Raw genomic sequence first — 14,794 nt, forward strand, 5'->3', positions numbered from 1 at the left:
AGGCCACAAAGGCCACATATTTAATGGTTTCACTGACATGTCCAAAACAGGCAAATCTATAGAGTCAGAAAGTAGATTAGTGGTTGGAGGGGATAGGAGGATGATATCTAAGGGAAATAGGGTGATTCTTCCTTAACCATTATCTGCCAAGGCCACACTAGGCTGAGCAGTGGAAGAATGTCCCTCCGGGAGCTGGACAGCTTCAGCAGTTCATTTCCTGTTGTTGGGGGTTTTGGGAGCCTGGGAATTCTTGTAAGATTTAATAGTCACAAGCCATTGCAGGCTGGGCTTGGAGTTTATTTGGCTATATATTTCCTTCAAAATTTAAGTAGCTAACTGTAAAAAGATTTTTTTTTTTTTAGATAATTGTGGAAATATGAATGTAGTTTGAGCATTTGATGAAATTAAGAAATTTACCTTGTGTTAATGATATTGTGGTCGTGTAAAGAAATGTCTTTGTGTTTTATAATGTCCAGAAGGATGTATTTAGATATGAAATGACATGGTGTCAGGGACTTGTTTTATAATAATGCAGCCAAAAAAGAGAGAAGGAGAAAGAAAAGGGGGCAAGGGAAGGAAGGAAAAAACAAAGGAAGAAAGGAAGTCAGAAGTAAAATGTTTTAATTGTTGAATCTGTAGGATGGGGTTCATTATACTATTCTCTCTACTTGTGGTTAAAAACTTTCATTAAAAAAAAGTCAGGCTGGGCCGGGCGCGGTGGCTCATGCCTGTAATCCCAGCACTTTGGGAGGCCAAGGTGGGCGGATCACGAGGTCAGGAGATCGAGACCATCCTGGCTAACACAGTGAAACCCAGTCTCTACTAAAAATACAAAAAAATTAGCCGGGCATGGTGGTGGGCGCCTGTAGTCCCAGCTACTCGGGAGGCTGGGGCAGGAGAATAGCGTGAACCCAGGAGGCGGAGCTTGCAGTGAGCCAAGATGGCACCACTGCACTCCAGCCTGGGCAACAGAGCGACACTCTGTCTCAAAAAAAAAAAAAAAAAAAAAAAAAAAAATTCAGGCTGGGCTTGGTGGCTCATACCTGCAATCCCAGCACTTTGGGAGGCCAAGGCAGGAGGTTCACTTGAGCCCAGAAGTTTGAGACCAGACTGGGGAACATAGTGAGACCTCGTCTCTACCGAAAATAAAAATGAAAAATCAGTCGGATGTGGTGGCACGTGCCTATAGTCCCAGCCACTTGGGAGGCTAAGGCAGGAGGATCGCTTGAACCCAGGAGATTGAGGCTCCAGTGAGCCACTGTACTCCAGCCTTAGCAACAGAGCAAGACCCTGTCTCATTAAAAAAAAAAAAAAAAGAAAGAAAAACCAAAAAGTCAAACCAAACCTTTACACAGGTATGTAACCATATCTGTGAAGGTATCAGAGACTTATTTAGTCTCTGATGTTTTACTTATTGGCCTTTGTGCTCTATCCTTCCCTCTAGCCCTTAAATTAATGCATGGCTACTTGGCGAGTAGTCCAGGGTGGGAGACAATACTTTTAATCTTCCCCTTTGAGTTCACTCCAGTTGCCTGGCAAAGAATTCAACTATAGGTTGAAAAGTGTTGGGGGCCACAGTTTTATCTCCTGTGAAGGTTGTTGCTTGGCGGCATCCCCTTAAAACTGCTTCCATTGAGGATATAAACGCTACCATTTATAACAAGAGGACGGGGAAGTTGTCTGTGTGTATCTCCATAGTTATACATACATAAGCATATATATTATATATAGGTTTGCATACATATGCATAAAATAACTGGAAGCATAAAACCCAGAAATAATAACTTTGGTTTCTTTCTGGGAAGAAAACTGATAGCTGGAAGATAAGAGTGGGTGAGACTGCTGGGGAGAGAGGAGATAGGATGAAAGGGGACCAAAAACCAAGTCCTGGGGAAATGATAACCAAGGAGGGGTAAGCAGGAGGAAGGGCACAATGGGAAGAAGCCTGAGAAGGAGCAGCCAGACAGATAGGAGGGAAAACCAACAGAAGAAAAAGTTTCAAGAAGTCGTGCAAAGGCATGTATGTGCCCTTGCCCTTGGACCCAGCATTTCCACTTCTAGGAATTCCCCTACTGGGATTCTTGCACACTTGCAAAATGATATATGCACAAGGTTACCCATCGCAGCACTTTGTTTATTTGCAGCATTGTTTTTAATAGCAAAAATTTGGAAGCAATTAGAATGTTTACCAGTAGAGAACAAGTTAATTAAATCATGGTTCCCCCATCCGGTGAGTACTCTGCACCTGAAGATGAGGAGGCTCTGTATACACTAATATGAAAAGATTTCTGAAATATACTGTTAGGTGTAAAAAAGCAAGGATGGGGAGTTTTCTTTGGGGCTTATAATGTTTTAAACTTTTATCATTGTTGTAAATGGATGTAGCTGGTTGTTATATTCCTTACAATTACGAGATACTGGGTTCTTGGGTTTGTTTTTCTATGAGTTCTAGTATTCTGTTATTCTTTCTAACTTTCTTATTATGAGCAATAGTTGGCATGGAGGAGTGGCGGATCAAATTTTTAGGTTATTAAATAGGCTCCATTTCAAGCCAATCAGCGTTGCCTTCTGCTGTTTTGTGCCTGGCTGCCAAGTGCCTTTATATGGTGTTTCAGCTTTTTAATGGAGCTTTGATATGTAGCAGTCACCCTGAGCCACAAGAGGGCAGAAGAACCTTTTGATTGCCACAGGACAGATTAGCGCTGGAATGACTTCTGGCAAAATCCTGCATGGAGTAGTTCTTCAACTCACTTACTAGACCGTGGGCATCCAAAGGCAGGCCAGTGTCTAAGCCATCAGAGGAGGCAATGGAGGGGTGAGAGGAGAGAGTGTGTGTTTTGGAATCCTCTATATCTGCCTTATGTTCCAGGCTCCCCTGCAAATTACTTAGTGAACTATACTCCTTACAGTGTTAACCTCTCTCAGAGCTTGAATATGCAAGACAGTAGAGGCATTACAACATAGTGGAACATAAGAGTTGAGGCTTTGGAATCCACCCCACCTAACGTTGAGTCCTGGCTATGTGACTTTGGGTCATTTCTTAACTGTCATTTATTCAATGAGATAGTGTGTGTAGAGCTCTTAGCACTGTGTTGTGAACACTCAGAAAGTAACTGCTATAATTACAATAGTACAAGGTATCAGCACAGATGAATAATATTAATAGATCCTTAATAACTTTTATGTAGCTCTGTTATGTATTTAATAATTTATTTGGTTATAAGCAAGGAGGTAATATTTTCCTTAAGACAATTTCAGAGCTCCTTTTCTCAGAGGGGCCCTCAAAATGTCTGTGGTATTTCTTACTTTCTTATAAACAGTCTTTTAATAGTATAGTACATTCTGAATTTTTGCAGAGTCTCAATTTTAAAGGTTCCATCCCACTGTGATTTTGTGTATTTTTGATTGGAAAATATAGTATTTGGGCTATATAATGAGGTAGAGTCGCGCAACACAATATTGCATCGGGATATAGTACCTGTCTCAGGCCGAGATCCAGGGGAAGCAAACTCTGAGATAAAGATTAGGGTGTGAAAAGCTTATTAGGGAGTGGTTATGGAATCAATACTCCTGGAAGGAAAAGAAAGGAAATGAGGAAGAAGGGAAAAGAAAAGGGAAAGATGTGGAGATTGTATAGGGGGAAAAATCGGGCCGTGATTCAGTCTCAGTAAAAGGCCTCAGCCCACCCCATGGGGACTAGGGCTCAGATAATCCATGTTTTCTAAGCCATAGAGTGAGAGAGCTGTGCCTTTACAGCTCCTCCTGACCCGTCATTGGACGAGGGCTGCCCCAGGAAGGGGCATGGCCGTGGGCCAGGCAGCGCTCTTCAGCAGATGCATTCCCTGAAGAGGGCTGACAGTTGAGGCCTTTCTGTCCTTCACCATCCCAGCAGCTGGGGAATAAGCCCTTTAGTTACTGAGTGGCCTCTACAGCTTCCACCATAGTGCCCAAAGGGCTCTCCTGAAAGGGCTGGTAGAGTAATAGAAGACAGCTTTAGACAGAATTGCTTTGAAGCAATACTTAAGAATACTTGTTATTTTTAACTTTAAGAATAAAAATAAAAATAATTTCATTTTTCATTTATCATTTTAGTGTCAGGGTGAACTCTAGTGTAACCAACTACCCCCAAATTTCAGTGGTTTTAACACAATAAAGGTTATTTCTCTCCTGTCACAATCTGGTGCAGTTCTATATTGGTGGGGAGGAATTCTGCTCTACCTAATTCATTTAGGGCCACAGACTTCATCTAGTGACTCCCCCAGGCCCTAGGGCCTGGAGTCCTTCACTGGATTCTCTAAACCAGCTCCCAGAGGAGAAATGGACAGGAACATGGAGAACTGTGCAGGTCTCAGTGAAGAGACCTCTCTCTTCAAGCTTCTCTCTTCAAGCACAGAGAAGTTCATGTGCTTCCCTGCAGCGCACGTTCCACAGATCAGTACTCAGTCGTGTGGTCCCACCTAACTGAGAGGAGGCCACGTAGCCCTCACAGCTACACTGTGATGTTGCTCATACCTGTGTGGTGGCTCCATTTCATCACTATTGGTGAATCAAAGACACTTCTAAAACTGTATGTTTTAGGTTCCCCACACTTAAAATACTTAAATTGCCACCATCATAGTATCATAGTTTTACTTACCTGGGGACATTTTAAAAGGCTGAGGAAAGCTAAACTTTATCAGAGAGAAGGAAAAGAAGGGAGGAATACAGAGCTGAGAATTTAAGGATTCCTTGCTCTGGAAAGGCAAAAAAGGGTAAAACAATTTCATGTGCATGTGTGTGTCTGTGTGTGTCTGTGTGTGTGTGTGTGTGTGTGTGTGTGTGTGCGCGCGCGCGCGCGCGTCCGCGCGTCCGCGTGCGCTTTTTTTTTAGTGGTATAGGAGAAGATTGAGAAGCTTCTGATCCTGCCATGTAGCTGTAAAAACAAGCTCCTCTTTCCCTCAGCCATAACAGGATTGATGTCTTTCACATGGTAACAATGGAGATAGATGTGTGCTGCAGGGAAGCACATGAGCTTCTCTGTGCTTGAAGAAAGAAGCTTGAAGAGACAGGTCTCTTCACTGAGACCAGCACCATTATTCATGTTCCTATTTCTCCTCTAAGAGCTGGAATAAAAAATCCAGTGGAGGAAATTACAAGGAAATAGTCATTCAAATAGCCCTGACAGCTCCTTGCCCGGATTCACATGAATACCACCCAAGTAGCCCTTAAGTCAGAGGAAGAGAGGCCAAGGGAGAGATATCAATGACTTCTTCTGTCAGTCTATGAGGATTACTGCTGACTGACAGCTTGTTACTTACTCAGCTTTATTCCAGGCAGTGTGGGGCATTTAGGAAGAGAGGTGCCTGGGCCTGGGAATTTTAAAGACTGAAAGCTGAGACTCACAGGAAGTAACCAAGGACAAGACAATGAGATGAAGTGTTTCAGAGACAACAAAGAAGTGGCGATTTAAAAAAAAATAAGTAAATAAATAAGAAGTGATGTCAAGGAAAGCTTTGAGGAAGAGATGGGCACTGAAGCAGGGACCTGGCGGTTGGGGTAGGACATGTGGGGACCTGGGAAAGTGCTCTAGCAGACAGAGTACTCGAAATATTTTGTAAGCTTCAGTGAGAGCTGAGAGCGGCTTGTGAGGAATGGTGGGGGGCGGGGAGTAGTGAGACCGAGGATTGCAGAGCAGGGCAGAGTCGATGACAGAAGGCCCTAAGGTGAGGTGTGGAGTTTAGATTTAATGCAGCAGGGCCATTAAAGGCTTCTACCCTTAATGGAAAGACCTGGTGGAAAAGTAGTGTTCTGGACTTTTGTGTGAAGGAAAATTAACAACACAGAGGTCTCTTCTGGAATTTCTGTTGAGCACCTAGAATTTAAAATGGGAGGTTGTGTTCCTTTATTCCCTCAGCAAAATAAGAGGAAGTGACTCTCAAGCCTGGACTTGAAAGATGAATGAATAAGATGAGAAGTGCATTCTAGGCAGTGATAGTAGCATGAATAAAGTGGAGGGGCCTGGAAAAGGGCTGGGAGAGTCTTGTGTGGAATGCAGAGTTTGGATTCTGAGTTAGGCGGAAGCAGCTGATGAAAAGGAGAGAGAGAAATGTGGTCGGATTTGCATTTTAGAAGGCTCACTTTGGCAGCTGTGTGGAGGCTAGATTGCGAGAGAAAGAAAAGAGGTAGGGATACCAATAGCCACAGCACTTCACCACTTGAGGAGTTTCAGGGACGGACAGATGCTTGGAAAGGCCTTGTGGTGGAGGTAACATCTGAGCTGAGTAGGGAGGGCTAGGAGGAGCAGAAAGGCAGAGGGAAGATTATGGATAGAGGCGCAAGAGTGCAAGGCATGGCATGAGTGAAAACCAGGGGAAGATGGATGTGGCTGGCATATAGAGTCTCTGGGGGATGGTACTCCCTGGGCAGGTAGGTAATGAGTCAGGTCACAAAGGTCCTTCTTTATATGTCACAGTGAACAGGGAACAGTTTAGACTTCATCAGGTAAATGAAGGGGAAGCCACAGACCATACCTAAAGCAAGTCTCAACAAGTGTCAGAGGATTGATCACATGCAGAATCAATCCTCTGACCACAGTGAAATTAAGCTAGAAATGAATAACAAAAAGATAACTAGAATATTAAGAAATGAATTTGTAAATAATCATTGGGTCAAAGAAAAAATCATGGGAAGTAGAAAATATTTTGAATTGCATGATACTGAAAATATCAAAACTTGGGTGGGGGGGTAGGGGAAGGATAGCATTAGGAGAAATACCTAATGTAGATGATGGGTTGATGGGTGCAGCAAACCGCCATGGCACGTGTTTACCCATGTAACAAACCTGCACGTTCTGCACATGTATCCCAGAACTTAAAGTATAATTAAAAAAAAAAAAAGAAAATATCAAAACTTGTCAAAACTTGTATGATGCTACTATAACCTATAAGCATAGAGGGAAGTTTGTAGACTTTAATGCATGTTAGAAAAATAACCGAAGGTTGAAAAAAATTAGTAATCTAAACATCAATTTCAAGAAGTTAGAAAATGTAGAGCACATTAAACCCAAAGAAGGAAAACAGAAAATAATAGTTTGATGAAAAAGAAAAAAAAATACAGAGGATCAACAAAGTCAAAAATTTGTTCTTTCAAAAGATTAACATACTTTTCCAAGGAGCAAGTTTTTTTAAAAAAAGATTAATAAAATTGACAAATGCTGGGCACAGTGGCTCATGCCTATAATCCCAGCACTTTGAGAGGCCAGTATTTGAGGATCACTTGAGGCCAGGAGTTTGAGACCAGCCTGGACAACACAGCAAGAGCCTGTCTCTACAAAAAAATTTTTTTTAAAATTAGCTGGGTGTGGTGGTACATGCCTGCAGTCCTAGCTACTCCAGGTGGCTGAAGCAGGAGACTCACTTGAGCCCAGGTGTTCAAGGCTGCAGTCAGATATGATCACACTACTGCACTCCAGTCTGGGCAACAGAGCAAGACCCCATCTCTAAAAATAAAAAATAAATTTTTCAAAATTAAAATTGACAGACTTCTGGCAAGACTGATTGTGGAGGTCAGGGAGGAGAGAAATTGAAGCACAAGTGCCAGTGAACAATGCCAGGAACAGGAAGGGAGACCACACTACAGGAGCTATAGGCTTGAAAAAGATAAAAAGAGGCTGTATGAACAATTTTATGCCAAAAGTCCTGAGAATTTTGTGAAAATAGATCCATTTCTAGAATAATATCCGACTAAAACTGACTCAAGACATCATGGAAAACCTTAGAATCCTATAAACTTTTTAAACCAATGGAATCAATAATCCAAAATCTTTCTCCCCAGAGAACTTCAAACCCAGAGGGCTTCACTGGAGATTTCTTCAGCAGATTGAAAAGAATAATTAATTCCAGCTTTGTTCAAACAGTTCCAGAGAACTGAAAAAGAGGGACACTCCTTACTCATTTTTTTGAGACTAGCATAACCTTGATACCAAAACTGAAGAAAGACAAACTCAAGAAAGGAAGATTAAAGGCCAAGCTACCTAAAAATATAAATGTAAAAATCCTCAACAGACATTTAGCAAATTCCACAATATATAAAAAAGATAATAGATCACCATCTAGTAGTTGGGCTTATCCTAATATACATGGTTGATGTAACGTTAGAGAAATTCATCAGTGTAATTAATCACATTCATAGGTTAAATAGATTTTTATTAGATTAAAAAGAAAAACATTTCAGTAGATACAGAACAAGCATTTAATAAAATTCAGCATGTGTTGATGCTGGAACTGCTTAGCAGACTAGGACTAGCAGAGAGCTTTCATCTGAAAAAGGGTATCTGTTCGTAAAACTCAAGCAAATATTTTAAGGGTGAAATTTTGAAAGTTTTCCCTTCAAGATCAGGAACAAGACAAGAACATTCCCAAACCACTTTTTTTCTAATATTGAGCTGAATGCCTAGCCTGGTGCACTGAGGCAAGAAAAACCCATGATGAAAATCTTAACCGAGGAAGTAGCAGGATGGGGAGGGGAGGGCATGGGCTTGGGAGACATTTGGGAAGAAGCCTTGTCATGCCTTGGGTTCCTGTGTTCGTTTCTTTTTTTCAACACATATTGACTAAATATAATATCTGGTAATAGGGAAGGTAGGAAAGAGAAGCAAAGGAAAGGGGCCTAACATTTATTCAGTTCCTACCCCGTGAAGGTGCTGGACTAGATGGTTCAAGTGTTTTAGCTTATTTCATTCACATACTCTCTTTGCTATCTTGAGAACTCCTGTAATTAGTCATCCGGGAAACTACATAAGAAAAAGGTAATATACTATATATTTGCATAAAATCATTCCCATTGTAAAATAGTAGTTCAAGCTTGTTTTTAGGTATAAAAGGATGTTGTATTTTATGTACTAGTTCTGTTTTTATTTTTTCTCTCATTTTTATTCATATAACAGGTCTTTGAAGTAGAATAAAGTCTGGCAAATGGTCTTTTTCTAATTTTATAGATAAAGAAGCGAGTACAGAATTACACTGATTAGCTCAATTGTCAATATGGGACTGAAACTTCAATCTTTCATCCCAGGGAGTAAATAATTTAAACTATAACTTGAACCATGGAGTAAATAATTTAAACTGTAACTTGAAAGCACATAATCAAAAGATTTTTGAAATGGAAATATGCTGGGGTCCTGGAAGCATGGTTCAAGGAATCAAGCAGAATATTCTCTAGTAAAAGTCTTTGTAAGACTAACTATGAAAGAGAGAGGAGACAGAGAGAAGTGAGGAGAGGAGAGGGGAGGGGAGGAGAGGAGAGGGGAGGGGAGGAGAGGAGAGGGGAGGGGAGGAGAGGGGAATGAGTAGGGGAAGGAGTAGAAGGGAGAAGACCAGTGGACGGGCCTCAAGTTTTTAGCTGTGTGCGTAAATTAACAAACACAAACAGAACAGATTTTAAAAGCACTGACATAGGAGGGAAGGAAGGGTCAACCTCATTATGACTTGTTGAGATGGGACTAGTGACAAAAACAGGATGATAAAAAGATAGGACATTTCAAAGACTACATTTAAAGGAGAAAAAGAAGCAAGCTGTCCTGGAGGCAAGACTAGGGGTGAAAATTGCTTGGACAGTTGTTGTTTTTTTTCTTTTTTTTGAGATGGAGTCTCAGTATATTGCCCAGATTAGTCTTGAACTCCTGGGCTCAAGCGTTCCTTCAGCCTCAGCCTCCCCAAGTAGCTGAGAGTACTACAGATGCACATGAGACTTGGATAGTTGTTGATTGACTGTTAACTCTAGAAACAAAGCATCTAATAAAATCTTGCCTTGCTTCTTATTGCTTGGAAGGGAGAAGTTATTCAATTTAGCAAACATTTCTGAATTCCTGCTGCATGCCAGGTACTTTGCCAAGTACCCAGGATATTATGTCTGGTGAAGTTCAATCTCTGAGCCAGAAGAAAGTTCTGAGCCCTGATCTCTATCAGATAATCCAGAACGTCCTCTCATGGCCTACAAGGCCCTTCATATTCTGATCTCTGACTGTCTTTACAGCTTTATCTTCCAAAGTAACAAAGATAGCTATCATTGATTGAGTTTAAGTGCTTTGCATGCCTTACCTTCCTTAATCAGATCTTCACTCTTCCAGCTGTAGTTGCCATTTCCAGTGGAATTCTTTTGTCCCTCATCAGTTATCCCCTTCTTTTGAACATTTTCATCCTCTATTTTGTCATGGCTGTTTCCCTTTGGGCAATAAACATGCTTATTGACATGTAAATGAAAACTGAATGTATTTTATATTCAAATTGAGTGTCTGAATATATCTGTTATAAATAGAATGGCTGGCTTAGAAAACATGAATTAGAGATTTATTTTCCAGGTACTATAAAAGTGATTCTTGGAAATCATTATATTTAAATAAGCGAGACTGTTGGGCGACTTTTTGTTTTTTTTTTTTGGAGACAGAGTCTCGCTGTCGCCCAGGCTGGAGTGCAGTGGCGTGATCTCGGCTCACCGCAGGCTCCGCCCCCGGGGTTCACACCATTCTCCTGCCTCAGCCTCCGGAATAGCTGGGACTACAGGCGCCTGCCACCACGCCTGGCTAATTTTTTGTATTTTTAGTAGAGACGGGATTTCAACGTGTTAGCCAGGATGGTCTCGATCTCCTGACCTTGTGATCTGCCCGCCTCGGCCTCCCAAAGTACTGGGATTACAGGCGTGAGCCACCGCGCCCGGCTGGGTGACTTCTTTTGGAAACCACTTTTGACCCCTAATTTAGTCCAGAACTCAGATTATAATGTTTTAATAAAGTTGTGTGTGTGTGTGTGTGTGTGTGTGTGTGTGTGTGTGTGTATAGTATCTGCACTATCCAGATCATGGTTGTTATAGTTGTGATGCTTATAGTGTTAATTTGAGGAAAATAACTTTCTTAGACAAATGAACACCTCCCTTTGTTTTTTTACAGAAGATGGCCTGTTTCAAAGGTGTGTGCCCCTGGATGTTGGGGTCACCATTTTTCTCTCTTTCAGGAGCATGGAAGTTAAAAGGAAAAATAAGGGGGAATATGAGAAGTCAACTGACTTGAAACTGAGCGTATCCTGCAGAGGTGGTCTTTTTTTTTTTTTTTTTAGATGGAGTTTCACTCTTGTTGCCTAGGCACAAGTTTCACTCTTGTTGCTGGAGTGTGATGGCATAATCTCTGCTCACCGCAACCTCCGCCTCCCGGGTTCAAGCGATTCTCCTGCCTCAGCCTCCCCAGTAGCTGGGATTACAGGCATGCACCACCACACCTGGCTAATTTTGATTTTTAGTAGAGATGGGGTTTCTCCATGTTGGTCAGGCTGGTCTTGAATTCCTGACCTGAGGTGATCCGCCCGCCTCAGCCTCCCAAAGTGCTGGGATTACAGGCATGAGCCACTGCGTCTGGCCAGTGATCCTTTTTTTAATCCTATATGTATATTTGCTTTTTGTCATGATGGACAGATTTCCTGGAATCTAGAGCGCTTGTGACAGACTCAGCCTTCCATCATGAGCTCATTGCTTACGTCTTATTCTCTCCAGCTACACGCTTGGTGCCCTTTCCTATTGCAGTGATTTTTTTTGGTTTGTTTGTTTTTGTTTTTGAGACAGGTTCTCACTCTGTCATCCAGGCTGGAGTGCAGTGGTGTGATCATAGCTCACTGCAGCCTCAAACTCCTGGCTCAAGCGATCCCATGGCCCCAGTGTCCCTTGCAGTGATTTTTTTTTTAGAGAAAGTTTTAAAATTTGTATTCAGTAGAGTTGTTTAATAAAATGATGAAATACTTTTTCTTGGCAGATACTGACTTTATTTTATTTTTCGTTTTTTGAGGAAGAGTCTCACTCTGTCACCAGGCTGGAGTGCAGTGGCGTGATCTCGGCTCACTGCAACCTCTGCCTCCCAGGTTCAAGCGATTCTCCTGCCTCGGCCTCCCGAGTAGCTGAGATTACAGGCACGTGCCACCAGGCCCAGCTGATTTTTTTGTATTTTTAGTAGAGATGGGATTTCACCATGTTGGCCAGGATGGTCTCGATCTCTTGACCTTGTGATCTGCCCGCCTTGGCCTCCCAAAGTGCTGGGATTCTAGGCGTGAGCCACCTCGCCAGGCCTATTCTCAAATTTTTTTAAAAAAATCACTCTATTTATGAATTTCCTAGTTAGTTTTGAATGCTCTGATAAGTGAGAAAGTGGAAGTGAGAAAGGAAGATGTGAGGGTTATTGAGTGTTGTAACTGTAGTTAATTAATGCCTTCTGAGATAGCTGGATCTGGGGAGCCACATCCACCTCACTCCAGCGGGCGTGATTTTGGCTCCTGATTGACATCCTACCTGTGATTTTTTTGTTTTTGTTTTCTAAAGACCAGAAGGATACTAACTCATGCCTTCCTTGGCATCTCAGTGTTGTCTTACTGAGCTTACTACATGCTCTGGTCCCAGGGCTCCAAGTTCTGACCCACTGTTAATCCTTTTTATTTATTTGTTTCCTCTTAGCATTTTGCTTTGGAGAAATTACAAGCCATTGGAAAAGTTGAAAGAACAAGCTGATGATCATCAAGATCCTGTTAACTAGATTCCCCAGTTTACATTTTAACATTTTCCACATTTGTCCTATCTTTGTAGATGGATAGATAGATAGATGATAGACAGATAGGTAGATAGATAATAGACATTTTTCTGTACAATTTGAAAGTAAGGTGCAGAGTTTTTGATATTTCCTCAAATATCTCAGTTTGCACCTCCTGAAAAAACAAAGTTTTTCTCCTTCATAGCCATGGTACCATTATCACACTAAGACAATGGACTTAATTCTTACATTAATTATTTAATAATTAACTTACTAATCACAAGGGCAAAACTGTTCTGTGGTTCAACACCTTAACCAAATGATCCAATTTAATATCACCAGTAGTGGGACAGTCTGTCATTATGTGCCTTCTGATGTGATGCAGTAAGAAATACATATCACCTACATAGTGTCTGTGCCAAGGTGTTTAACCTGAATTTGATCATTTAAAAAAATCAGATGAATTCAATACACAGGACATGCTACAAGCCAGCTGGCCTGAACTCTTCAAAAGAAGGCAGTCACATGAGAAAACAAAAATGGAGAGGGTGAGCTGTTTCTAATTATAAGAGGCAAAAAAGACAGAATAGCCAAATGCAATGAGTAAAATTTATTCAAACACAGATATATAAGGGAAAAAGACATACTTGGGGGGGCAATTGGGTACATTTTAATATAGACTATAATGACAATATTGACTCCTTGTTATTCTTATATATAATAAATCCCTGTTAGTAGTAGTTTTGGATTCCAGTTCTAACTTGGTTTTTTCTTTTGCTATTGTTACTCTTGTTTCACTGAGCACATGGAACTATATATCTTATATTTTAATTTAAAAAGGAAGTATTTTCTGTCTTATTGCCTTGTGGAAGGTTTTGTAATGATTTGTTTCCAGAAGGCTGCCACCTTGCTGCCTTTCAGGTGTTGAGTGGATCACTGAGGGAGCTCCACTCTCTGGGATCTTCAGGACTTTTGCATTGCTGATCGTGGACTGGAGTTTTTAGGATAGGGGCCCAGCAAAAGAATGAGAGGAGTCAAGGCCAAGCGTGGGCAAGCCCCATATGAAGAAATAGATGACTCACCTCTGTGGAAGGTGGAGCCAAGCATCTCCAGGGCTGTAGATGTCCTAAAATACAGATTTGTAAAAGTCTGTTGTAGTTCTGTGTAGAATTTGGTCATCCTTTCATTTGGAAAAGTGAGTGGTAGGATTTTTGTTTCCTAAAGATGACCTGTTTCCAGATCCTGTTTTATAGCATTTTTCGTTCATTCATTAATTTCTCACTCAGCAAATACATATTGAGTGTCTGCTGTGTGTCAGGTACTGTGCCAAGTGAAAGGGATTATGGAAAAGACATTATGTGTCACCTCAAGTTTTCAATCTAGACAGGGAAACCAACATTAAACACAGGTAAACCTTCAGTTACATCCGCGGTAAGTAAAAGCAGGGAGCGTGAGAATACCAGAAAGATGCCAGTCTGAGATGCTATCTCAGAGTCTAGCTCTGAAGATGCTTACGCCACACCTCCGTCCTCAGCCCCTAGTTACTTCCAGTCCCTGACTCCCTGATTCTGGCGCGTTCTCTTTCCTAGTGTAAGAGCGAGAACCAGCTAACTTAATCCATGAGTACCTTGTATATCAATTTATAAAGATAATTTGTTACCTTTGCTGAATAAAAGAAGCTCTTCCTGATTGCCAGAACCTCCCTATTTTTCAAGAGAAGCTGGAAATCTGAATTTTTTTTTTTTTTTTCGAGACTGAGTCGCGCTCTTGTCACCCAGGCTGGAGTGGAATGGTATGATCTCAGCTCACTGCAACCTCTGCCTCCCAGATTCAAGCGATTCTCCTGCCTCAGCCTCCAGAATAGCTGGGATTACAGGCGCCCACCACAATGCCTGGCTAATGTTTGTATTTTTAGTAGAGATGGAGTTTCGCCATGTTGGCCAGGCTGGTCTTGAACTCCTGACCTCAGGTGAACACCTGCCTCAGCCTCCCAAAGTGCTGGGATTACAGGTGTGAGCCACCGCACTCAGCCGGAAATCTGAATTTTTATGTGAAATCTCCTGACTTATAAATGTTAACAAATTCAGACATTTGCAAACACTTCGTGGGCTAAACCTAATACATCTGTGAGCCTCCAGTTTACAACTTCTACTTGGGGGGACACAAAAATATAGTTATGCAGGAATTCTAATTCAAAGATTAAGGAAGTTCCCTTTTTCTTGTGCATACCCTTGTTCAGCATAGTTACCAAATAAA

The 14,794-nt window shown here is 41.5% G+C and overlaps 1 protein-coding gene and 1 long non-coding RNA gene across 58 annotated transcripts in view, besides 3 other annotated features; both read left to right on the forward strand.

The window, feature by feature from the left end:
- Nucleotides 1-14,794, forward strand: part of ST3GAL3 (ST3 beta-galactoside alpha-2,3-sialyltransferase 3) — a 223,624-nt gene that overhangs the window by 53,427 nt on the left and 155,403 nt on the right. The gene's annotated exons all lie outside the window — the stretch shown is intronic.
- Nucleotides 2,709-2,798: an enhancer, noted in NCBI's record as "active region_923". NCBI's record gives its function as "activates an Ori minimal core promoter by ATAC-STARR-seq in GM12878 lymphoblastoid cells {active_cell/tissue: GM12878}" and the evidence as "EXISTENCE:reporter gene assay evidence [ECO:0000049][PMID:35858748]".
- Nucleotides 2,829-2,888: an enhancer, noted in NCBI's record as "active region_924". NCBI's record gives its function as "activates an Ori minimal core promoter by ATAC-STARR-seq in GM12878 lymphoblastoid cells {active_cell/tissue: GM12878}" and the evidence as "EXISTENCE:reporter gene assay evidence [ECO:0000049][PMID:35858748]".
- Nucleotides 5,927-6,462: an enhancer, noted in NCBI's record as "OCT4-NANOG-H3K27ac hESC enhancer chr1:44232560-44233095 (GRCh37/hg19 assembly coordinates)". NCBI's record gives its function as "activates a minimal SCP1, AML or CMV promoter by ChIP-STARR-seq in primed H9 embryonic stem cells {active_cell/tissue: H9 hESC(primed)}" and the evidence as "EXISTENCE:reporter gene assay evidence [ECO:0000049][PMID:30033119]".
- On the forward strand, nt 10,628-13,278 carry LOC124904166 (uncharacterized). Its single transcript, XR_007066051.1, has 2 exons — nt 10,628-11,049; nt 12,881-13,278. It is a non-coding gene; the product is annotated as an uncharacterized LOC124904166 (long non-coding RNA).

This window comes from Homo sapiens, chromosome 1, assembly GCF_000001405.40.
Source record: "Homo sapiens chromosome 1, GRCh38.p14 Primary Assembly".
NCBI classification, from domain to species: domain Eukaryota; kingdom Metazoa; phylum Chordata; class Mammalia; order Primates; family Hominidae; genus Homo; species Homo sapiens.